The sequence below is a fragment of the Homo sapiens genome, chromosome 18 (genome assembly GCF_000001405.40).
Source record: "Homo sapiens chromosome 18, GRCh38.p14 Primary Assembly".
Classification (NCBI taxonomy): domain Eukaryota; kingdom Metazoa; phylum Chordata; class Mammalia; order Primates; family Hominidae; genus Homo; species Homo sapiens.
In genome coordinates, this window is record NC_000018.10 from 29,519,985 (window position 1) to 29,547,912 (window position 27,928).

A 27,928-nucleotide genomic window follows, 5' to 3' on the forward strand; every position below is an offset into this window, starting at 1 on the left:
TTGCGACTTTATATTCCCAAGATCCATGGTCTAGAGAATAATAAGGACTTTATACATCTTGCTAAGATAATAACAGAGGGACATCTGGAACAATTTGGTCAGATATTTATTTATATTTATATCTATATCTGTATTTATCTCCGTGTGTGTTAACCATCCCATTGATTTTGTGTTAGGCATGGATTCCTAAGAGCTCAATGGTTATACAATATTAGAAGCTGAAAACAAATTAGGAGTGAATAGCAGATTGCAAGCTCAAACCATCAGAATATCAAGGTTGTTCAGTATTTCAGTATTTACAAACACTTAAAGATTTAAGATATTATAAGTCCCAAATTTTCATATCAACCTAGCATGGAGATCAAAATAAGAACAGGCTCAAGTTAAAAATGCTTACATGGAAAACACTCAGAGTACAAATATCTCACCCCTGTCATGAGTATGGGTATGGTGAGATGGCTTAAAGGTGAAGGGACAGAAGACAGAATCAGTGTTCATGACTTTCATCCAGAACCAGGCACATCAATCCATCATCTTTGTTCTAGGCTGCCCTCTCAATTTATCAGTCAGACTAAGTTCTGCTATAGATCTTCCAGGTTTGGCATTTTCTGTTGACCTAAATTTCTAGTTCTTGAACTCTGTTTATTCTTTGCTTTACAATTTGTGTCCCCCTGGGCATGATATTTTTAGACTGCCTTCTTAGTAACTGACCTTCTGACCTAGGCCTAGAAATATCCCTCTACTGTAGCTCCAGAAAGACATTCTCAAATGATGAACAGAGTAATGAGATAGCCTTGACAGCAACATCAGACAGCTTTTAAAACTACAGATGTGCCAATCATGTATGTTTCGTATATCACACCTGAGAAAAGTTAAGGGATGAGTATTAATTTGTAGTTCATAAAAGCAACTCTTCCAAGGCCTAAGTGTTATGGACCAGGAATATGGCTTTATATTAATCCGGTCTAGTAAAAGTATAAACCTGGAAGAATCTTGCTTATAAGTTAGATTCACATTTCCCTCTGAATATTCTTATCAAATATCAATTTTCTCAGGTGAACTTCTGCAGAAGCAGTATATCGAACAATTAAAGATTTAGTTTGGTATTAAAGAATTTAAACTTCATTCTTATTGAGAAGCAATCTATATGCTCTCAATACTCAGAGGTAGATGTAGATAGAAATAAACTGCTTTTAATAATTAAATATAGGCACGAATCAAGTAACTATCATTGAAGAGAAAGAAATATATAGACACAGGGAAATTGGCAGGTTGTTGGAATTAAAATTTTCTCCAAACACTACCGTTGAAACATCACCACAGCTTAAATGCCTATATGAGTGTTTATGTGTGTGTGTATGTGTGTGTATCTCCACATATATATGTGGATATATATATATATATACACACACACATAAATATGTGGATATATATATATATATATAATCCATCCTTTGTTATTGCATGTGAATAAGGGAACCTATATAAATGCATAATGATGATCTTTATTCCTCAATTATTCACAATATAGAAAAATATGGATCTGTGTTTTCCCTAAATATGCAGACATTAAAAAAATCCTACACCTCCTTTACTATAGACCACTGTCTTCATATACACTAAAATGTTCTACTCTAAAATTATTTCTATTTTCTTTATAGGCTACATTTCTAAATTTCTGTTTCAAACACTATTTTAAGACATACACCAACTTTGATTTGCTCTCTCTGCTTTTATGCGACTTCTTTAGTTCTTTAATGCTTCATGTGAAATTTCAAAAGTAGCGTGAGACATCTTGCTCTGTTGTTTACTTCTGCATTTTTGTTCATCTCTAGTTTTTAAAATCTGTATTCTGTCTTGTTTCCTTACCACAGCCTGAAATCCATTTTATCGTCATTTTTTTCTATATCTTCCTGAATTCTCATGTTTATGTTTTTCCATTTATGTTTTTATGACAGGAAACTATCCTGAATTCGCTTGAGTGTGGATGTGGTTTCTATTTTACTCCTTGGATAAGAAACCAAAGTACTTTTATTAAAAAGACATCTGTTGAACTGGAAATCAGAAGAAAAAATAAATAAAGTTATATTTTCTGATTTGGACTCTGAATTTATTTCTGTCTTGAGATGTTTTAATGTTTATGACATTTTCTTCATCTATTTACTCTATAACATACTACACATGTCTTCACATTTCTCCTCAAATCTCTAACACCTCTCCCTCCCTACAATCCTCAATGTTCATGCTTACTATTTTATTGACTAATATAAGCAATTACATAAAAATATATTTGCTTCCCCACAGTCCCTTTCAACTCATCTGCATTTTAATTCCTTGCTTTCACTGCTATGGATGGCATTCAGCAGTCCCATTCAAAGCCAACCTATTCACATGTTCACTGGATTCCATTATCTCCTTTCCACTCAGGAATCTTGCTCCAGAAATCTTTCTGTATTTCTCTCATATCAACAGTTTTCACATCATCCTAGATTGATTCTATGAGGTATGGTTTTCATCTCTTTTTTTTTGAGACGGAGTCTCGCTCTGTTGCCCAGGCTGGAGTGTAATGGTGTGATCTCGGCTCACTGTAACCTTTGCCTCCCGGGCTTAAGCGATTCTTCTGCCTCAGCCCTGGAGTATCTGGGACTACAGGCGCGTGCCACCACACCTGGCTAATTTTTGTATTTTTTTTTTCTTAGTAGAGACGGGGTTTCATCATATTGGCCAGGCTGGTCTCAAACAGTTCTCATCTTTAAAAATTAGTTTTTCTTCACTCAACATTTCCCTTTCATTTTGTCTGCTACCCATTACAGCAAAATGCCCAAGATAATTGCTCACATTTGATAATAATATTTCTCTACTCCCATACTTCTCAGAGTCCACCATGCTACTGAATGGTGGACTATCAGTTACCTCAATCCTGCTAAACCAAAGGTTGATTCCCATTCTTCTTCTTATTTGATTACCACAACTTCTTAATCAATAACTTCTTGAAACACTTCCTTTTTCCCACTTTGCCTCATGGGGCATGACTCCATCCATTCTCCTCCTTGCTCTCTGGTAAATCCTTTGTAGTCTCCTTTTCTGGCTTTTCCTCCTTCCCCTGCTCTCAAAGTTGGAATGCCTCAAGGGCTCAGTGTTCTGACCTTGTTTCTCCCTTTATCTTAGTTGATCTCATTCATCACATAGATCATAAAAGGTAAGCAGAAAACTGATACCTGTTCTATGTGCTGACAATTCCCAAATGTCTATCTGTTGCCTTGTTCTTTGCCCTGAAATCCAAACTGCCAAATTCAACACTGATTTGACGTTTCTGCTTGAATGTATAAAACACATCTCCAGCTTGACGTACACAAAACTGAACTTTCGATACACACACACACACACACACACACACACACCCCTCTGCTTTTCTTACAGTCTTCTCCATCTTAATAATTACAGTTTCATTATTCTGATTGTTCAGATTGAATATTGAATGTCTTAGAGCTAACCTTATACGTATATTTCTCTCTAAGGCTCCAACTAAACATCAGCAAATTCTGTGAGCTATGCCTTCAAGATATGGAATCAGGTTAAACCTGTTCTTGTGACTCCCACCACTACATTCTTCTCCAAGCTACCAGTATGTCTTGCCTAGATTTTTAAAATATCCCTCTCGCTGGTTTCTGGCTTCAGAACTTTCTCCTCTATATTTCATCTTCCACAAGCGTTAAAATATCCTGTCTGCCTTACCCTATACTACCCTGTCCTATCCTAAAATATCCTTAACTTTTTACCCCTCAAAGAGCTGTTCATCATCTGACATAAAAGATATGGGCCTCTTCCTCTTCATTATGAAAGACTAAGAAAGACAAGTATGTATGTGTTTGTGTACACACATACATATATACATGAATTTATGTCAATAAAGGTGATGTCTGAATCAATGGTTAAATGAATGAATTATCATTGTGGTATATAGCCTTTGGAGGATGCGCTATTCCACATTTACATTGTTACCAAGTAAAAAAACCTTCTGGTTTACTTAGCACAATAGGGACAAGCCCAGGTAATTTTTTAAAGTGTATAAATGACTCTGAATACAATTCTCCAACTTAAACTTCACAAGTCTTTGAGGTGACAATGAGAATCTTGGTTTTGCTGGTAGTGACTGTGATGAAGTTTCTACAACATTAAACAATGACACAGTCCTCTTTTTTGTATTTTCTTTTGTATTTATCAAAGTAACCGAAAATACTTGTATTGGTTTTGAAAGTTACCACTTTCACTGAATTAATAAGCGAATTCTATTGTGATAATTTTATGATCAAATGATACTTAGATAGAGGATGGAAAGACCAAAGTATGGAACTGAGTCTTATAAATTGGTAAGCATTCTTAACAGAAAAAATGGAGCAAACATTTCAAGTTACAGGTCAGAATCTCTTTAACAGCAAACTTCTTCTTTTTTTTTTTTTTTTTTGAGAGGGTGTCTCGCTCGGTCTCCCAGGCTGGAGTGCAATGGCACGATCTCGGCTCACTGCAACCTCCACCTCCCAGGTTCAAGAGATTCTCCTGCTTCAGCCTCCCGAGTAGCTGGGATTACAGGCGCGCATCACACAGCCAGCAAATTTTTTTGTATTTTTAGTAGAGATGGGGTTTTGCCATGTTGGCCAGGCTGGTCTTGGACTCCTGACCTCAAGTGATCTGCCCGCCCTGGCCTCCCAAAGTGCTGGGATTACAGGCATGAGCAAACTTCTTAATGAGGTCTCCATACTCAGTTATTTTATGAGTTACTATTAGAATGTATATCAGTATGTCTGGGATTCTCAACTATGTTTAAGAATTTGGTTGAAATAATTTTCAAACTCCTATCTAAATTTCACACTTTCATTCCCAGTCCACCAGAGGACCAGTTGATATTACCAGAATTGGGATCTTGTGGATAGTGTGTGGCATTTTAAAAGTCAGTTTTGATAGTGACACCAATATATTAACCAATGTAGTTTCCATATATCAAAACTCATCAGTGATTTTCCATTGTTAATTGAATAGAGCATAAGTTTTATACTATTTAGTATATAATACCATTTGATCTGATTTGTGGTGTCTGCCTACCTCAACACTCCCCAAACCTTCGCTCACAATGTATTCTGTAACAAAACAGAACCACTTGAGTTTCAAGAATACATGGCTGTGTTTTTGCATCTATGCCTTGATTCAAATGATTTCCTCTAAACTGAATGCTTTTCTCCCACTAAATTTATATCCTGCAAGAGTCAGGTAGCATCTGATTGGTGCTAAGAAGACTTAGTCTTCTTGAAATCCCCTCTTTTTCACTCCCACTCAACACTTTTTATACTGTATTAAACATTTATATAGAAATGAATATACATGATTCTTAACTATTTGTGATATCATAATCACCTTGAAACTGTTTTTCTTTGAAAGCTTGTCCATACTTCAGGCTCTATTTCCGCATCACTTAATGACATTGACAGAGTAAGGAAGATGGGGAGAACATGGGACATTTAAACAGCTTCTCAGGTGTTTCTGATAAGCATGCACTGAGGGAAGAAGACTGAACAAGATCTTGAATTCTTAGAAGAGATTAAAAATTTATAAATTTATTTTCTATTAAAAATAGCAATAACTGGAAACAATAAGTTTATGATAATTTTGTTGTTCTTAAAACTCAGCAGATTTCATTATGTTTTTTTCAGTTATGACACTAATCACCAACCTCTCCCCACCCCTACCCCACTGCCCTTTGAATCACTACAATTTAGCCAAAGAGGAAGAGGTTATGAGGATCTCGTATGTGTGAGGCAGATGTGTGTCTGACAACCTAAGACCTTTCAATTCTTTTTGCTCTGAGAGACATTATGTTTATACTCATAATTAACACAAAGAAGGATCTCACTTAAGAACTTTCCATAAAGTGTATTCAACAGAATGGTGCTACTTCTATTTGAAACTTCTGTAGTATACAAGTATTTTCCTATACAGTAACTATAAAATTCCTGTAAGATAAATGCACTATCAGAAGAGTTTCCTTCCAGGTTACCTAACTTTCATTGCAGGCAATTTCAGTAAGTATATCTGTAGTTTCCTGTCTCCTTTGAGGACATACCTTTAAATTTCCCTTTCAACAATTTCTTATGCAAAGGCATCATTGTGTTCCCTTTGTCCACAGCCAAAATCTAGGCAGCTTTTGGGAGGGTAGAACAGGAGGAAAAACCCTTCAAGTTAAGATATATTATATCTAATTAAGAGAGAAGCAAGTAGCTTCCCAGTTGAAACCATAATGGTGTTTCCATGTGGAATGATCTAGACAATGACTTCTAATTTTTTTCCAGGTAGTATGAGGAAAATAAGATATATTAAATATAGAAGGCAGATAATGGCCACCCCTACAGAGTTGAATCTCTTTATTTCAGAAACTTGTGGATATGTCAGAGACAATTAAATTGAGATTTCAGTTGGAATTAATGTTTCTGACATTAAAATTGGGGGATTATACTGGAATATCTAGGTAGGCCCAGTATGAATCACAAGCATCCTTAAAAGTAGAAGACACAGGCAGAGAAGAGTTACAGGGTGATGTAACTACCAAAGAATTTTTACAGAAGTGCAATATTGCTGGCTTTGAAGATGGAGGAAGGAGCCCTGAGCCAGGGAATGCAGGTGGCCTCTAGGTACTGGAAAAGGCAAAGCAACCAATTTTTCTCATAGAGCTTCCAGAAAGAAAGCACCTCAGTCAACAACGTGATTTTTATTCCAATGAGATCCATGTTGGACTTCTAACCTAGAGAATTGCAAGATAACAAATTTGTATTATTTTAAGTCACTGAGTTTGGGATAATGTGTTACAGCATCAACAGGAAACTAATACATAACACATTCAGAGTAGCCTTTTGTAATATTATAAGTGGACATGAATGATTTGTTACTTATTTCCTAAATAAAGTATAAGGGAGATTCTGAAATCTTCAATAATGATCTGACAGAGTGCCTTGACCTTTTACTAATTGTGCCTGTCTTGGCTTTTTATATTCATAAACTATATATATTTACTTCTATGTGACATTTCAAAATGAATTAAATGTATAGACTTAGAGCAAAGAGTGAAGATTATGTTTTGCACTTAAACCTCCTTTAATATCTAAAGTTTGACTGAATCACACTCTAAGGGACTTCCTGGCTGTGACATTCCATCCTCCACTATTGATTATGTTAAGTAAATTTGTACACTTAACATCATTGTTGCTTATTCTTGTAGGTTTTTCTAAAACAGATAATAAATTTATCGATGTGAAGGAAGGAGCCATTTCAATAGCTCCTAAACTGTCTTTGGAGATGGTTTATTATTCACTTAAGGGAGAATTTTAAACAGAAATTCTACTGAATTCTCAATGCAGTTGAGAATTATTTATTCTCACAGTTATTTTTAAGTATGGATTTCCCAATCTTCCCAAGAAAAAAGGACTAGGACAGGTGGGCTAGCATCTTGTCGATAGAAAATCTGAGTACTAAAATGGCCTCCAAGGGAAGTAGAAACACATTTGCCTTCATTGTATGGGGACACAGTTCATCCAGCACATCCTTCTGTTGATGTTTACTAATCATAGTAGATAAATACAACAAAAATATATTGTACATATGAATAAATCAATATTTGTTGTTTATAGTAAACAAATGAACAAAATTACATTTCTATATATGCACTAAAATTCTTATATAGTAGTGTCACCGAAGGCTAAATAAGGCAGAATGTTTAGGATAAAGGAAACTAAAATCAAGAAAAAAGATCAAGTTTTTGAAGTGATACTGAATATCTCCCAAAACATGGTTATATAATAACCTCATTCAAGTTGGATCCTTAGCCCATATTATAATGAGATTGCTATGGGCAGAACACTTTTGAGTCTTTGGCACTTGGTAATAAAAGAGAGGGTGTGCATTTTAGACCAGATCAGTTCATTCTTCATTTTATAGCTAAGAAATGGAGAGAACACATGCTACAATTAATCATAGTAAAGTTCTAGCTTAACACAGACATTAACTTCAGACAAAAATAAAATAGTACCATATTTGTTCCTGGTCACACCTATCCACCTCCATCATCAAAAAAACACTGCTTTTTGTTTCAACACTTTGTGGCTCTGGGTCAATTTCACTACAGTAAACAGCTATTTACTATGCTCTTCTATTGTTCAAATGATTGAGTTGACTCATTAAAGTTGATTATTACAATAACTGCTCTTCAGTGATGAATTGAAATTTTAGATAAGTTCTGTATGTGACTTTTTTTTAACTTTTTTTTTCTCCCTAGGGAAGTCAGAGACTGCATCAGAGAAAAACTGGCATACAAAAGGTGTCTTAATTTTTTTTAAGTAGTTAATGTGGTAAAGTTAGAAACATGTTCTAAAAAGAATGAACAATGGAAACTGCAACAGAAAATTTAGGAAAATGTAGCTAGTCATTTGTTTGAACAACTTTATTTAAATAAATCTAAAATTAGTTTTCCTTTCCATATGTCACTTTCCGAGCATGTATTCCTGTGTTTATGTGTGTGCATGTATGTGCTAGTGGTGGAGAGGGAGAAGGGCATAGTGGTGGAAAGGAAAAGAGAAGGGTACACTAACTGGAGTGAAAGCTGTCATTACTAAGATACAGTTTGAGAAATGCACTCATCCATTCATTAATTCTAAGATATGGTTTGAGAAATGCACTCATCTACTCATCCATTTATTCAATAAATATTTAATGAGCGCCTACTATGTTACCCAAAGTAGTTTAGGAGCTGGTAAATTAATGGTGAAATGTACCTATGTCAGATATATCTGGTGTATTTGGGGGATTGCACAAGTAAATAAATTTGACCAACTTAATTTATATGAGACAATTTATTTCCAATAAGGGTTTTGGAGACAGAGTGAGTGGGGATATGTTAGGAATGATGGGGTAAAAGAAAGGTTGCATGTTACCTGTTTTCGACATTAATCACTTGATCCAGCTTCCTAGAAACAATCCCAGGACTTAAGGAGAGAGGATCTGTAAATAGAAGCTAGAGGAACTGCTTTCACATTGAAACTTATGTAGTACCCACTTAGGCCCAGATAACAAAATGTGACACAGAGTCAGGAAGGGGTGCATTTTAGTACTTTTGCACAGAAGAACCATGGCTTCTGCATTTGGAATGCAGTGATACCTTAGTCACTTGAAGGTTTGTAGCTCTGTAGTGTTAGGAGCCAAAAGCCTTGACATAAACATCAGTTCCATCAGGGCTGGCAACAAAAGGCTATCTCAAATGGTAGAATAAGTAGTAGAAGTAGGCATCCTAAAAGACTTTCTGGAAGAGTTGGGTGAGATTTTATGGGAATTTAAATTTAGAGTTGCTAAGACATGTCTTTGTTTATCTTTCGCTGACTAGCTCTAATTTTTGAAATTAAAAAAAAAATCTTTTAACCTAAATTTTACTTTTATGATCCCTAAAATGAAATTATAGTAGCCACTTTAAGGGATTGTTATGAGAATTACATTAGATAAAGCAAAACAGTGGAGTTTTTAAACAATATATATTTATTTTTAATTTTGTATTGATACATAATAGTTTTTCATATTTTGAGGGTACATATGATTTTTGATACATAGCTACAATGTGTAATGATCAAATCAAGGTTGAATTCATTTGGTATTGCATACAAAAATAAATGAACTCTGGAAAATAGATTTGTGTTTCAGTTATAATTAAAAAGTAAATATTAAGAAAAAACTAAGTAGGAATTTTTGGAAGCAAATGTAAATGCTTTGAGATGGAAATCTTTTGGAGCCGAAAAGTTTAGGTTTAATCTGACTATAAAACTGTACCCTCTTCCCTTCAATGGGAAGCCAGTAATTGTTAACATCAGCAAAATAATTTGCTTCTAAAAGATTGCCTTTTGGAATTAATTATAAGATATAAGTAGTTTCGTTCTCTCATTAAAATGATATCCTTGTGGGAACCAGAGAATGGTCTGAAACCAGGCACTAGAAGGGCTAATATAACTTAAATAAATCCTTTTGATTTTTCTTAATCCTGAGAATTTTGGCCACAAACCAGGGACTTTGCCTTAGTAGCAGATGTCAATTTGTAAGGTCTAGCAGTCCCCCAAAGAAGAGAACATGTAGCTGGTTTTAAAGCTAATAATAAAGCCGAATCCAGCCTTCAGTCTTACCACCCTGCCATATTCAGAGCTTCAGGAAAAGTAATTAGTGTGGTGATGGGAATAGTGTCAATGCCCCCCAAACTAAAATTTTTCATTATTACAGAACATTATTAAAGTATATGTGCATTAAAATATTAGGGCCAATCATTATGTTTATAGGTTCATATTAAACAAAGAGATTAAGAAACATAAGGCACTAGAAGGTTATATTGAATATAATTTACTTATTTATTCAATAAGTTATATTAAAGATATAAATATTAATATTAATGCTTCTCTTTTTTAAAAAAAGCTTAATTGGAGCAACAGACAAACCAAATAATGTTTATAATGCATTGTGATTAATTCCATGCTAGAGGTATACACAGAATAATTTTTAAAAATTGTGCTACAGAATCAGTAAATTCTCATAAATATCACAGATTCTGCTGAGTACTGAAGGCAAAATTGGACTGAGCCAGATGAAAGAGTATTATAATAATAAGAGTGGTCCCAGCAGAGAAGACAACACTTGAGGAAGAAGAAAGTATGACTGATAATATGCTCACGGCCCTGCAAGTAAGCTGGCTCACTTGGGATAGGAGATGGGGAAAGGGAGGTAAGAAGGGACAGACAATGACTCCAATTTGCTCAGAATCCATCATGGCCCATAAGTACAAAGAACTTTGAGGAATAGAGTATTGCATGGGTGTGAAATTGTTTGCTATTTAGAATTTATAATACATACTTGTTATAGTAGTATTCAGGGTTCCCTAATTCCTGTTTAGGACACGCAAATGATATCGATAATCTGTTGGGAGGTCTGCAAAATGAGAATTGAAGTCAATAAGTAACAATTGTATGTACTTTCAGCCCAACAGTTAAGCAAATGTATATTTATGAGTGCTGAAATTTAGGAAATTGCTAAATATTAGTCTTCACTTTTACTGTGGGTTTTGGTCAGTCTGACTTGTTCATTAGTACAGCAATTTCATGATCCAGTGAAGATTACCAGGGTTTTGTTTCCTAGCCAGATTTCTCAGAAATTCTCTGGCTTTGTCAAACATATGTAAACTGGAATGACCATTAACCTGTAAATTTGATCAATGCAGAGAGTATATATGAATAATTTATAAACAGAAAATAACTATTTCTAACAATAGCAACCTCTTTGCCTTACAAATCTACACATATTTTTCAATATCTCAGTTAAGAATGCTGTTGATATACCTTTTCATATTAGTTTTATTTACAGATTTCAAGTTATGGATCTTCATATTTAAACTTATCCTATTGGAAATTCAGTAGCTCACGTATATCTGGCAAACATCTTCTTAGGGTCAGCGAAATAGACACTACTTAAAAGTTTTTAAAAATTAAAATATTATTTGAATATTATAAGGGATAAATATAAAGTTTTCAAAATGACACCTATGATATTGTATTTATTATGAAGAATGGTTTTTATTTGATGTACTTTATTGAAAAAATACCACTTATTATTTAACAATTGCATGAGTTACAAACATCATCACTGGGAGTTAGATAAACATAAAACCCACCACAGAGAATTAGCTATGGATGTACAACACAACTTATTGTTCAGTTTTCTTGTTAAAGACCAAAGTGTTGAACTAGTTCTCATGTTTACAAAAGAAAATTGGTCATGAGACATCTTATAAAATCAAGAATGCAATCCCATTCATAATAACCACAAAAATAATAAAATACTTAGGACTACAGCTAACCAGGGAAGTTAAAGATCTCTACAGTGAGAACTACAAAACACTGCTCAAAGAAACCACAGATGACACAAACAAATGGAATCCATTCCATGCTCATGGATAGGAAGAATCAATATTCTTAAAATGGCCACACTGCCCAAAGCTATTTACAGATTTAATGCTATCTATTTCAAACTACCAATGACACTCTTCACAGAAATAGAAAAAAAAACTATTTTAAAATTTATATAGATCCAAAAATAGAGCCTGAATAGCCAACGCAATTCTAAGCAAAAAGAACAAAGCTTGAAGCATCATGTTACCCAACTTCAAACTATACAATAAAATGACAGTAACTAAAACAGTGTGGTACTGGTACAAAAACAGACACATAGAACAATGGAAGAGAATACATTCCAAAAATAATGCCACATACCTACAATCATCTGATCTTTGGCAAGGCAAACAAAAACAAGCAATGGGGAAAAAACTCCCTATTCAATAAATGGTGCTGAGAAAACAGGCTAACCTTATGCAGAAGATTGAAACTAGACCCCTTCCTTATACTATATACAAAAATTAACTTAAGATTGATTAAAGACTTAAATGTAAAATCTAAAATGATAAAAACCCTGGAAGATAACCTAGGAAATACAATAGGACCTGGCAAAGATTTTATGATAAAGACGCTAAAAGCAATTGCAACAGAAACAAATATTGACAAATGGGGCCTAATTAAACTAAAGGGCTTCTACACCAAAAAAAAAAAAAAAAAAAAACAGACAAGCTACAGAGTTGGAGAAAATATTTGGAGACTGCAAATTTTTTTTGACCTACAAAGTTCTAATATCCACAATCTGTAGGGAACTTAAACACATTTACAAGCAAAAGACAAAGTACCCCATTAAAAAGTGGGCAGTGGGCAAAGGACATGAACAGATGCTTTTCACAAGAAGACATACATGTGTCCAAGAAGCATTAAAAAAATGCTCAACATCACTAATCATTAGAGAAATGCAAATCAAAATCACAATGAGATACCATCTCATATCAGTCAGAATGGCTATAATTAAAAAGTTTAAAAGTAACATACTGGCATGATTGTGGAAAAAAGGGAACACTTGTATACTCTTGGTGGGAATGTAAATTAGTTCAACTATTGTGGAAAGCAGTGTAGTGATTCCTAAAAAGCTTAAAACAGTACTATCATTCCACCTAGAAATCCCATTATTGGGTGTATTCCCAAAGAAATGTAAATAATTCTGCCATAAAGACACATGCATGTATGTTTATTGCAGCACTATTCACAATTGCAAAGTCATGGAATCAGCCTTAATGTCCATCAATTGTAGACTGAAAAAAGAGAATGTGGTAAATATACACAATGGAATACTACACAGTCATAAAAAAGAATGAGATCATGTCCTTTACAGCAAGGTGGATGGAGCTGCAGGGCATTATTCTAACACAACTAACACAGGAACAGAAAACCAAATATCACACATTCTCGCTTGTAAGTGGGAGCTAAACAATGAGGACAAATGGACACAAAGAGGGGAGCAACAGACACTACTTGAGGGTGAAAGGTGGGAGGAGTGAGAAAATCAAAAAACTACTTATAGGGTACTATGCTTATTAGTTGGGTGACAAGATAATCTGTATACCAAACCCCTGTGACACATAGATTACCTATGTGACAAACCTGCATGTGTACCCCTGAACCTAAAATAAAAGTTAAAAAAAGAATATAACACCAAATTACATATACTGTAGAGTTAATATTTTATCTTATCTTAATGGCAGTAGTACCACTATTTATTTATTGTTTTTGTTTCAATTTTAAGACTGATGGAAAAGACAAGAGAGGATGGAAAAGACAAGAGAGACTACAAAATAATTTAATAGAGTTAAAAATAATTTTCAATCAACAAACCTCATATAACCTTACTGCTGACTAATGTTCTGATTGACAGAGAAATGTTCAGAGGATGGAGTATAATTCTTAGATATAATTTAGTTTACAGCCTGCTATAAAGTGCTAATGTATTGAAGAATATACAGAGTGAGAGAGAGAAAAGGAAGAAAAGAGGAGAGGAAAGGGAGGAAGGGCTGATAAACAATAATTCTAGTGTGAGATACTGTCTACTAATTTATTCAGATAAAATAAAATAATGAAATATATATGACAGAACCCATATAAAAGAAGAATATTTGAATGTTTGTCTTGATCAATGGAGACAGGTGATAACTTATTACAGAAGTTTACCATAAAACTGTGAATTTTATGGCTGTGGCTCATTTTTAAGGTTCTCTTAAAAATTGAAATGGGAAGTTTAAAACATCCCGTTTCCAGAATATGACCTTGGAAATTGTCTTGGGAGATTTCCTTTTAGTAAACTCCTTAATACTCTATCCATGTCATGGGCTTCTCAGGAATTGCTTCCTTAATTAGAATATATATTTTACATTAGTTTCTAATTAACTGATATTCTTAAAAAATTAAATAATTCTGGAAGCCTCATAGTAAGGTAATTTTAGATACACTCTAGGTTGTATATAGGACAAGTTTTATTATTTTCATTAAGGTGTAGTATGGCCTATAGATCTTTTGAATTACAAACAGAAGTCATTTATATTTTGGTTCACATGTATTTTGACTTAAGGAGTACATCAATGGCCAACTTATAGTATCTTCTTTGAGGTTTTGAGGAAGGTCTGATGCTGACAAAAAGTGAGTGCCAATTTTCTCCATTTAGGACACTAATTATATTCACATAACCTCTTGTTCATTACCACTTTCTAATATTTACTTTAAGTAACTAATGTTTCATAAATAAACATTAAATCTAAAATGTTAATATATTAAAATATAATAAATAGGAGCAGAAGAAGTGAGAAACTATGAATGAAAATATTTAACAGACTTTATGGTAACCCAAAATTCATAAATAGGTTTCAAATAAAGTGGATATACAAAGAAAGATGTAATTATTTTTATAGTGCTCTCTACATGTAAGTTAATATTTACAATATTTATGCAACATGGACTAAAGGAGTATACTCAGGAGCAATTAAACACAAAAACAAGTTGTTAGATCGGTCTAATTGTAAGGACTAATATTCTCAAACACAGGTAAGTTAGGCAGGGTTTTGTACAGGCTACTGGGTTTGTGAGGGCTTATATATTTACAGAATGATATTTTTTATTTTGAGACAGATGCTAAAGGCACAAATAATTCTCATGTCTTCAAGATGCAAAGGTGTCCTCAAGTTTGTAAAATCCTGCCACCTCTGTAAACATGCAAGGAAATGTCCTGTAACATGAGGAACATGGTCTTTGCTTCAGCCCTGACAGAGAGTGTGGGAATAGCAGATATATAACACATAGAGGAGTTATAAATATCTCCAGGCATTATAAGATGATCTGCTCTTGTTTTTAACTCAAACTCTTATTTAGAGATTCTAGGATGATAAAATTCTGCCAGGTATGTTTAGAAGTTTGATTATTCTTTTTCTTGTTTATGTTTGGTGAAAATATTCTCTCTGAGTGATAACAGAAATAGAAAGGGAGTTGATATATATGGAATGGATTTTTTTTCTATCATCACTGATAATTTTGCATTTCTTGAAATGAAAAAGGATAATCAAATAAAAGGTAAGACTGTTGATAGTATTATATTTGTCATGAGCCACACTATGTATATATACTTTCTATATAACTATATTATTTCAGTTGTCTTAATAATGGATTGAAAAGGCATATGTTAGTTATCTGTCATGCTATAATGGTATATACAACTTCTTTGTGTATATTATGCTATAATGATATATATGTTATTTTTTATTTTTATTTTTATATTAAATTAGATTAAAATAGTACAATTTTCAATGGAAATAACTGTATTATCACCTCTGTATAACCTCGAAGGTTTTTAAATAATTTATTTATTTATTTATTTATCTTGCTGTAGGAAAGTTAAGCTACAGTCTTTAATATTTAGCTATAGAAAAGGAAGCAATAGTTTTTGGATTTGTAGTCTGTATTGAAGTGCTAATATGTTGAAGAAAATAGAATTCAGATATTCATTCAGGTAGTTGGATATCTGCTGCATGTATTCAGAGGTTTTTGTGACAAGTTCCATCAGAAAGCCGATCAACACAAAACTAAATAAGGGTTCTTCCAGTTATTCTGAGAAAAATTTTTGGCATCACCAAAGACTCCTATTTAATTTTACTTACATTTCTGCTTATGGTTAAGTCCTGCCCGACTTACATCTCTAGTTTCTCTTGCAGTTTTCTTCTCTGTTTCATCCTTGCTGAGCACTAGTCCATGGATTTCTCTTGATAAAAATTGGTGATCTGTCCTCCTGACCAATTTCTCATTTGTCTTTCTATGTTCTGTTTTCTCTCACCACTCCAAATTGCCACTATAGTCTCCCACTTAACCATATACATCTTGTGGCCACATCAAGCTAAATGACTTGCATTATGAGAGATTTCTGATTTCCCTCCTGTATGTTACTTTTTACACAGTCATGCCTCCCACTTGGCATATCTACTCTTTCAAGTATACCCATAACAGTTCCTCTCATTTATCAAGACAGAGTACAAAACAAGTTTTCTGAGTAGCTCTTTCTTTCCCTCCTACCTCAAAGTAATCATTTCCTCCTACACATAGCCATAATATTCTGAAGTTCATTTATGTCATTTTACCTATTACCATATACTTACACTTGTGTCTTACTTCTTTAGGAGGGAAGATCTTTCATCTCATTGTATGAAAAAATCAGTTTATTTTCTACCATACTTTGTAAATGGCACTTCTTCATCATTGTCTGGAATAAACAAAGGAGGAATGAAGAGGATTGCTTAATAGGACCTCTAAAAAATGAGAAAAAATATTCAAATAATCTAACCGCTATATGTTGAGAAGGAGCCACCAAAGATTGATAAAATATGATGTGTATGACTTGGACATAGGAAATGATTCTATATAATTATCACTGGATAGCTAACTCACGAATTTTGTTTCTTTTTTCTTTCTTTTTCTGTTTTTGAGACAGGGTGTTGCTCTGTCACCCAGGCTGGAGGGCAGTGGCTTGATCACTACTCACTGCACCCTTGACCTCCAGGGCTCAAGCAATCCTGCCACTTCAGCCTCCTGAGTAGCTGGGATGACAGACATATGCCACTGCACTGGGCTAATGTACTTTTTTTTTTTTATAGAGACAGAGTCTTGCATGCTGCTCAAGTTGGTCTTAAACTCCTGAGCTCAAGCAATCCTCCTGCCTAAGCCTCCCAATTGCTGGGATTACAGGTGTGAGTTAAAGTGCCCAGCCACCTTGTTCTTAAAAATAAAGATCTACCCAAGGACTGAATGATAGAAAAGGATGATACAAAGAGTCACTTTCTTACCTTCTCCTCCACCAAATTAAAAAAAAAAAGCCTTCATTCATAACAGAATTTTTTTTTTTTGAAACAGAGTCTCACTTTGTCTCCCAGGCTGGAGTGCAGTGGAGTGATCTTGGCTCACTGAAATCTCCACCTCCTGGGTTCAAGTGATTCTCCTGCCTCAGACTCCTGAGTAGCTGAGACTACAGGTGCCCACCACCATGCTCAGGTAATTTTTGTATTTTTAGTAGAGGCGGGGTTTTAATTTTTATGTTTGTACCATTTTAATGATGTTTTTATTCGTAGAAATTGAAGGGAAAAATAAATCATTTTTTGTACTTCATGTTTGTGTCTATTGACCACTTTAAAGAAAAAAGACTTATTATGTTATTTGAAAGAATATGATTGGTATGCTCACTTACTCTACTAACATTCTATCATTTTTAACAAGGTACGTAACAGGCTATACCACTAGGAAGGCATATATAAATGGCAAAAGTGTTTGTCATAAGAAAAAATATGAAAAAAAAAACCCACAAAAGATTGAAAGTGAGTTTTGAATACTTGTTCCCTTTTGAGGAGGAGGGCACAGTTTAAGTTATAAAAACCAGTAGGATAATAGAATACATTCATGTAGTTTAGAGTGTGGTAAAATTAATACTTCTCTCTAAAGGAAATGCTTACTTTTGATATTTAATACTTTATTGGAAACTAAAAATAGATGCATTAATCCTTCCAAGTGCACAATTTTTTGTCACCTAGATTTCACCATGTTATAGAGAATGTAGAGCTGATTTGGCCACTGATGATCAATTTTTCCTTTGAACACTTATTGCTGTAATTGTAGTAAAATAAAGACTCATATTTCTTGAATATCTTCTGTGTCCTAGGCTTTCTTCCTTTATGTATATTATCTCATTTAATTTCACAAAATTCTGATGGGGTTGTTATTGTCACTATTTTCCAGATGAACAATTGAAGTTTTTAGTTTAACTTGTCCAGGATTACGTAGCTACATGACCAAGATGGATTCAAAACCTGGTCTTAGGATGCCAAGGCCAATGGCTTTCTTTATTTCAAGCTGACATTTGGGTCCATTTGTAAGTAGATTTAGAGCTAAAAACTACAATTTTTTTTTACAGGGAAGACATCCCTTATTGTTAAAGTAATCTTTTAAGATATAATTTTATGGTTTCCATATATACCTGTATGTATAAAGATCTCCTACATACATGTATAGACATATATATGTATGTGTGTGTGTGTGTGTGTGTGTGTGTGTGTATGGGGAGGAGATATTTAGATCAATGATGAGAGGTCCTGGGTATTATAATGCTACAGAAAGTTTCTTACAAACCTTAGCCAGTCACCTGTTTGAAAAGAAATGACTCCAAGCAAAAGGAACAAGTCTTATTAAATTATTGTTAAGAATTAACTGTGTGCTAGGGAACTCTAAAAACTTTATATACATTAAACCATTCAATCATTGTAAGAATATGTTAACTTAGTGATATCACCTTATTCCTTTAGATGCAAGTAGTTTTAGAGAGGATTGATACTTGCCTAAGCTTACACAATGAGCAAGTAGCAAAGCAAAGACAGGAACTTGATTTGATTTAACTACTTCTTTAATGCTTCCAGCAATATACAGTTGACCCTCGAACAACACTTTTGAATGGCACAAGTTCACTTACATGCTGTTTTTTCCAACAATTATATTGGAAATGTTTTTGAGATTGTGACAATTTGAAAAAACTCTTAAATAAGTTACATAGACTAGAAATATTTAAAAAATTAACAGAAAGTTAGATATGGCATGAATGCACAAAGTATTGTATGTATGTAGATTGTAGTCTATTTTATCTACATGTATGTAGAATGTAGTCTATTTTATCATTTACTACCATAAAATATACACAAATCTATGATAAAAAGTTAAAATTTGTCAAAACCGACACACTAACACTTACAGATTGTGAATGGCACTATTCACAGTTAAGAGAAATATAAACAAATGCAAGGATTCAGTATTAAATCATAATTGCATAAAATTAGCAGTAGTTCATACTGTACCACTGTTATTTCGTAGTCACCTTCTATTGCTATTGCAGCGAGATTAACTGTTGTGAGTGTCCACTTAAAGAGTCCTGTGATGCTAATAATCTCCCTGTGAGCATTTCATCCCTCCAGTAAATTGAATATGATGGTACAAAAATGAGCTCTTGTGGTTCTTGCATCATGTTCATCCTGTAGAGCGCAATATCCAAAACCTTGAATAACACCATGGGACCCATACGAAGTGCCGCTAGTGATGCTGGACGTGCTCTCAAAAAGCAGAGAAAAGTCACAACATTACAGAAAAATGTTGAGTTGCTTAATATGTATCATAGAGGTCTGTAGTTGCAGGTCCCAACAATTTCAACACAAATGAATCCAGTTAAAGGTTGTTGCAAAAAATGAAAATAAAATGTGTGAAGCTATCATTGCAACTATCCCAGCAGGAGCCAAATACCTTTCACGAAAAAGGTATTTTGTGAAATACCTTTTCATATGGTATTGAAAATGCAGATTTTATGTAGGTACAGGACTGCTATAAGAGAGGCATAACTATGGAGACTAATATGATTTTAGAAAAATCTAAGTTACTACGATAAAGCAAAAAAACAAAACAAACCAACCAAACAAACAAACACAAACAGGTGAAGTCTCTAAAGCTGTGGAATTTAATGCCAGAAAAGGATGGTTTGATAAATTTAGAAAGAAGTTTGGCTTTAAAAATATCAACATAATGGAAAAAGCAGCTTGTCCTAACCAAGAGGCAGCAGATGTGTTCCCCAAATATCATTAAGAAAATCACTGAAAAAAAGAAGGGTATCTGCCTGGACAGTTTTTGAAAACAGACAAAAATGCTCTATTCTGAAAAACAAAAAGCCACTAAGGATATCTATTAGTAAGGAAGAGAAGTGCGTACCAGAATTTAAGGCAGGAATAGCAAAGCTAACTCTAGTGTTTTGTACAAATGCAGTTTGGTGATCAAGACTGCCCTTATATATGAAGGTGCTAATCCCCGAGCCTCAAGTTCTTCACCTGCTGCCAGTATTTTGGATGTACAACAAGACGGCCTGGAGAGGGAGAACCCTTTTTCTGGATTGGTTCCATTGATGGTTTGTCCCTGATGTCAGAGAAAACCTTGCCAGTGAGAGACTGCTTTTTAAAGTTCTTTTGATATTGGATAATTCCCCTGGCCAGCTAGAATGCCCCTATGACCTCCTTCCACATCAAAGGTGTCAAAATGGTCTACTTGCCCCCAAACACATGTTTCTCACTAAGCCTCTAAATCAAGGAGTCATGAGGCCCTTTAAGACTCATTAACCATGATATTCTATGGAAGGAATTATCAATGCTATGCAAGAGAACTCCAACAGAGAGAACATCATGAAAGTCTTGAAGGATTACATCATTGAAAATGCCATCATTGTTATAGAAAAAGCCATGGAAGTCATCCGGCATGAAACAATAAATTCCTGATATAGAAAACTGTATCGAGATGTTGTGCATAACTTCACAGGATTTATGACACAGCCAATAAAGAAAATCATGAAAGGAATTGTGGATATGGCAAAAAAAAGAAGGATGAGGGTGAAGAGTTTCAAGGTATGAATCTTGGAGAATTCCAAGAGCTGATATACACCATACCAAAGGAATTAAGAGAAGACAACTTGATGGGGATTGCTTGAGTGCTTCTGAACCAACGCCAGATGGTAAGGAAGAAGACTTAGAATAAGTGGTGCCAGAAAACAAAGAGACATTAGACAGTCCAGCAAAAGGGCTCTGGTTAAGCAAGATTGATTTTGGCTTCTTTTATGACATAAACTCTTCTATGAAAAGGGCACCCAAAGTAAAGCAAACTGTGGAACAGGGATTGGTACTATATATAAACATTTTAAGAGAAATGAAAAAGAAAAACAGAAAGAAATTACAAAGTGTTTCTGTAAAGTTACACAAAGTAACTTACAAGTATACCCGACTCTCCTGCCTCCACTTCCATCCTCTACCTCTTACACCTCTGCCACCCCGCCTGAGACAGCAAGACCAACCCTTCCTCTTTCTCCCTCTCCTCAACCTACTCAAAGTAAAGATAACAAAGTAGACTTTTGTGATGAGCAATTTTTACTTAATAAATAGTAAATATGTTTTCTCTTTCTCATAATTTTTAATAGTATTTTCTTTTCTCTAGCATACTTTATTATAAGAACACAGTATGTAATACATATAAAATACAAAATATGTGTTAATCAACTGTTTACGTGCTCTGTAAGTCTTCTGATCAATAGCAGGCTGTTAGCAGCTAAGGCTTTGGAGTCAAGATAGATGTACAGGGAGTTGGAAACCCTAATCCCCATGTTCAAGAGTCAACTGTAATTTTAAAATCTCACTTTTCAATCAAACATGATGCTGAAGTCTGTTGCCCTTTTATTACTCTCCCAGTCTCATTGAAAATAGATGTGTTTCCTCATTTACCATTAACTTCACACTCATTTGTTCTAGGAAGAATTCATTTTTATTACCAATTGCTTTGCTTTTACACAGACACCACTTTGCAGCTATATAGCCCTTTGGCAGGTACTTGTTCCCCTGTGGTCTTTGTACAAGTCTTGTTGTACGTTCACGTACTTTCTATTTTTGGATGTTTATTTTTCCGTAGGGCTCTTTGTGCTTTGTTGGGTCTGTTTGGAGATAATTGAAATCAGTAAGAAAAGCAGTGGCAGCAAAAAGTCTAATTCGCTCATAGATGGCTAGAAAAATTCCCTGGGAATTTATGATAATCTATATCTTTCTGCTTCTATTCAAATCAATTTGTAGAGTTTGAAAGAAACAAGCATTTTCAGGACAGTCTCTGACCAGTAGCAACTAAAGAAAAATAAAGCAGTGATTTAATTTTCATCAATGTTAAATTTTCTATGCTAAATTCAAATGTAAACTGAATAATATTTTTAGTATTGTTAATTATATCATCTTTTTTTCCAAGTGACTTTTGTGTTATAAAAATTGTTCTTTAGTTATATAAGATACATACAGAGTGTAAAGAATGGAAATTATTTTGGAGTAAACATTCCCTTGCCTAGTACATTATATCCCATAAATTTGAAGAAAAAAAGTTTTATGGGTTTCTATTGTTAAGCATTACAATAGATTTTATAGTATGGCTGAAAGAATTTTTGTAGTTCAGTAATAGCAGTGGAGTCAATCTCTTCATTTGAAACATAAGACATAACTCTGAAAGAGGCAGGAGCATTATCAAAACACCCAGGATGTAAGGAGAATATCACAAAGTTACTTCTAGAGCCTGTTTGACTCTTAGGTTTACATTTAAGTTTTCAGATTGCTCTAAGCTATTGCCAAGGAGTTTTAGATGAACACAAAGCCAGTAAAAGGAGCAAGATGTTGCTGTGAGGAATTCACCTTGAATGCTCTTAGAGAAGACATGAGTATTATTTCTGGGAGAGTGAAGGTAACAATCTAAAATCACCAACTTTGAAGGTGACTCACATTAAGCCTCCTGATTAGCAAAATATTTTAATAAATGAGAATCTTTTTATAAGACATTGTAGCGTAAACTCCTCCTGCAATTAGATAAAAGTAGTTCACTTTGCTCTATATGAGTTCATAATTAATTTGTTTATTTGTTCCACATATGCTAGGCACTGTTCTAGGATCTGGGATACAGTAATGAACAAGGCAGAGAACATAACTAATCATATAAAATAAGTAATCATATAAAATTTACTTTCTGTCTACCTTACAGTTAAAGATTTACAAGCCATCTCTAAGAACTTTTAAAGAACAGAATAAGGTGCATTATTTTATTCCTGAAGTCATATGGGAAAATCATGTATCTGTGGAAAACTAAAATGAATCACAAAACAATTAGATATTATTAAAAAGTCTTATTGTTTATTAGACATTAAAGAAAACATAGTATGTTTTGAGATGAGGGTTAAAATCAGCATTTACCAGAGAAGCCCTGCATAAGATATTGAAAAGTTCTGTTATTTTGAATTGTTATTTAACTCCAAGAACAACTAGCACCATAAAACATGTTGTTAAGGGAGATGGCTATCTGTTAACACAAATGCTTTTAGTCTTACTGGCAACAGCCAAGAGAAACTATGAAAAGATAAAAGTGATCATTTTTTTTTCTAATTTGAAATCACTACTTAGTTGAAAGTGGAGTGAATTTAAATCATTTTATTATCAATATTTTATTAATCTTTCTCTTTGTGAAGAATGATGTGTGTCTTCCTCTGCACCCATATAAATACATAATTACAATTCTGGCAAAATAAGCATTTTGAAATAACCTTTTCTCAGCTGGTAGATGTATGTTGTTTCACTAAAAACATGAAACAGATATCTGCTGAGAATTTGAAGAATTTGGCATAGGGCTTTTTGATCCAATGTCAAGAAAACTTTATAATTATTTTCTCTATTTAAAAAATGACCAATATTGATGTTACAAGGTCAACATTATTTCTTGTCTTTGGCTCAACTAGAGTTCCTTTTAAGTTGAAACTTTAATTGAGCAATAAGATATACAACTTTGAGTCAGAAGTATGTTAAAATACCAAATGTTTCCAAAGAAAATTATTTTGTATTTTGTTCTTTTCATATTGACGATTCATTGTTAAACTTGTAAGTTTTACCTTTTGCCACTCCACCTTTTTTTTTTTTTTTTTTTAAGACAGTCTCATTCCATCACCCAGGCTGGAGTGCAGTGATGCAATCTCTGCTCACTGCAGCCTCCATCTTCTGGGTTCAAGCGATTCTAGTCTCCTGAGTAGCTGGAATTACAAGCGCACACAACCACGCCCAGATAATTTTTGTATTTTTAGTAGAGATGGGGTTTCACCATGTTGGCCAGGCTGGTCTCGAACCCCCGACCTCAAGTGATCCTCCTGTCTCAGCCTCTCAAAGTGTTGGGATTATAGGGGTGAGCCCTTTTGCCCCTTTCTTAACTGATGATGACTTTCTGACTTCTCATACATTTTGTCATAGATAATGTCTTTTGCACATAGTTCAGCCAATTTGACTACAACTTACATGAAAGAATAGTTCAGGTTTAAGCTATTGCCTTATAATTATTTAAGAATTGGTGCTCATAGAATTAATGCTTTTGCGTAGTTTTGCCCACCCACCTAAATCTCCCTATATGTACCTTATATTTAGGTGATATTTTTGACATACTCTGTATCTAAAAATATCAAAGATATTTTTACAAGAAAGTAGAGTGGGAAGGAGTCTATGAGGAATATAATGTATTGACAGATTATTACTAAGTTAAATAAAGGCTCAAAAATTGCAAGCCTTGCTTTTTTAAAATTATCCTTTGTGACTTAAATAGATTTTGGTGAATTTTAAATTTTATTTGCCTAGTGTCAAAAGAAGAGGCAAAAAAACAGACTGCAAAGCAGTAAGACAAGGCATTTACTGGGGTCTTCGGAATTGCAATTTGGGAGACACAGTTTCATCAACAAGTCAAATTGTGTTCTGAAGACAGAGAGGGGAAGAGGAGTTTTTAAAAGGAAGCTAAGGGTGATTACAGAAGTTGTTTTGAAAGAATTATCATTGGTGGAGGCAACAGGCTTAGAACAGGAGTTCATAGTTCATTGGTTGTTGCTATTCAGGAGTTGCAGTGCTGGCAAAATTCAGTTGTTTTCAAGTATGTTGTGATTGTGGCTGTTTGGCCAAGTTCAAAGGTTCAAGACAGGTTCCTGGGGTTTTTGTTTTGTTTTGTTTTGTTTTTGTTTTTGTTTTTAAGGATGTAGGTCATGTTCATTTCAGAAATCTGAACCAGAGTGACACCATTTTGTATATGACATTTCACAATAGTAGGCAAAGTGGCTCAGCAATTAGTGAAAGTTAGCCATGTAGCCATGGAACTATTGTGGTCCACTCATTCAGGAGTTATTTAAACCATTAAGGCAATATACAATGTAGGCACTAAGAACACAAAGATAAATAAGATATAACCCTTAATTTCTAGGAGCACAGAGTTTAGCATGGAGTACAAATAAATGATTGAAATAATATACAAAATTGCTACCAGTATATGAGTTATGTATGGATATGATAATTTTCCCTATGCTTCAGATGGGGAACATGACATATGATTTTGACACTGAAGAAAAGTTTCAGTTCACTGTGAAGAGAGAAAAACGATGATCAACCCAGGCAATAGAAATAACATTTACAGAGGTACTGATGTGGAATAAAGAATCCTAAGTGCATGTTGAGTAATTGAACCTGATTTTGCAAATGTAGGATGGCTTTGTATGACATGCTAATTTATTTAAACTTTAAAAATAAAACGCCAACTTGATAGAATTAGAATATCTGGAGAAAAAGTTGGGACACTTAACAACAAAATGCAATGTAGACCGATACTTGCAAAATGTAAACTTGTAAAAAATTTCCCACTCAGTCTTCAGAATTCAAATACAAATGTATTTAAATGTTTAAAATAAGTGCTAACCATCATAGCCAAAATACTACACTTTAAGTATTTTTGTTACGTGATATTAAATACATAGATTTTTATGTGTTTTCCAACTTTGGTTTTTACTATCAGAGAAATAATATGGGGCAGTTTATTTATCAATTAGAACAAAACATATTGGGATTTTTTATGAATTTAAAAAATAGAGTAAAATTTCCTTCTCTCAAAGGAAAAAAATTACAAAAATAAGTAAAAGGAGCAGAGAATACCCTAACACTGCCCAAAATGTGAGAGACACAACTTACAACATAAACTTTGGAAAGTTCTGTGCATAGATAGATTTTATCGTGAACTCCTTGCTCTTCCACATTTCCATGTGCACAACAAAAAAAGAAAAAGGGGAGAACTTGCAAACAGTTTAAGAGCATATATTATAAAGTTGCTAAAAATAACTAAATCATCCTATGAAAATCAGAGAAAAATAATGAGTATCTAAGATGATGAAAAACAAACTAATCTTTTTTTTTGCTTTTTCTTCATAAAACATTTAATACTAGAAAAGAGTGAAATGACTTCTGCAATATATCAAGGAAAAAATAGTCTTAAATGTGTAATAGATTAGATATATTTCACCAATATAGTCTTCTAAAAAGAAAATTCTTAACATTTTTCAGCTTAACATTATTTCAGCTACCCAAATAAGAACTCAAAATCAACACATCCGAAATGGTGAACCCATGGTATGAAATTGTGGCAGTGAGAATTGGATTTATTAAAATATAGAACAAAGGGGAAAAACATTTTGGTAATATTATTTAAATTACAAATATTACACATTTTAAAAGATGTTAAATATAATAATATTAAATGGCATATAATGTCTTAGTACTAGCTATTTCTAAACACACACTTAATATTCTGTATTCTACTTCAGTGCCTCTGTAAATGTTACTTCTGACGTCTGGGTGGGTCATCTTTCTTCCTTCTTCACAGTGAACTGAAACTTTTCTTCAATATTTAAATCACATGTCATGTTTCCCATCTGAAGCATAGAGAAAGCTGTTACACCCACATGTACCTCATATATTAGGAAGGAAATTATAGTAAAATGAAATGCAATAGTACTTTATTCTAAAAGTAGTACATAAAAAATAGAGGCTTGTCATGTTAATTAAATTTGTAACAGTAATAGTACAGAAACTAAAATTATCTATATTATATTTTTCAAGATTCCAGGTTAACTAAAACAAACAAAATAACAAAGTATACAGGAAGATCTAGAAGGCAAGAAAAATCAGTATATATGGGAATTCCATTTTCAGTTAAGATCTAGAAAGGATCTCGGTCTCCTAAGAGACAATTTCTGAACCTACTGAAAAAATGCCAAATCAGCTGCAAAAATCATAGTACTCTTGTTGTTTTTGGTGGTGGTGGTGTAATTTGTTTGTTTATTTGTTTAGAAAGAGATGCTTACTTATCTCATGAGCAGAGAAGTCTCCTGATTGCAGTGGGTCCCTCTCACTATCACAGAAATCTTTTTCATCAACCTACTAATGTATTTGAATAATCGTTCATCATAAGAAACAAACAAATGAAAAACAGTATACAGCTGAAAATATAAGAAATTTAAATGAATAAAATTTCAGAAAGTGGCAAACCCTTCACAGGAGAGAAGAAAGAGACCCATGTTTTCTTTTCATTCCTAGAGGAGCCGCAGCAGAAGGGAAAGACGTTATATATGAAATAGCAAACAACATTCCAACTTTTAGCTTATGGCCAATATTTTCTTTTTATTTTGAAAAAAAAATGATCTGTACAAATAAAAGGCTTCAAGAATTCTACAAGTATCTTCTTTAAGAATTATTTTGAAGCAATTTTACTCCATACCCCAAAAGTTAATACAAGATGTACCACAGAACTAAAATTAAAAAGCCCAGTCATAAAGTCTACAGAGGAAAACACATAAGAATATCTTTGCAGCCTTGGAATAAGTATAAATTTGTGGGACAATGGTATGTATCAGAATACATGTACATATGTATTGGTTTTCATTCAGTTTCTGACTCATACCTCCCATAGCCTTTGTTACAGTCCTTTGTTATAATGTTGGGTGTGTGAGGTCTCAGGGGTAGGTCTCAGGAAAC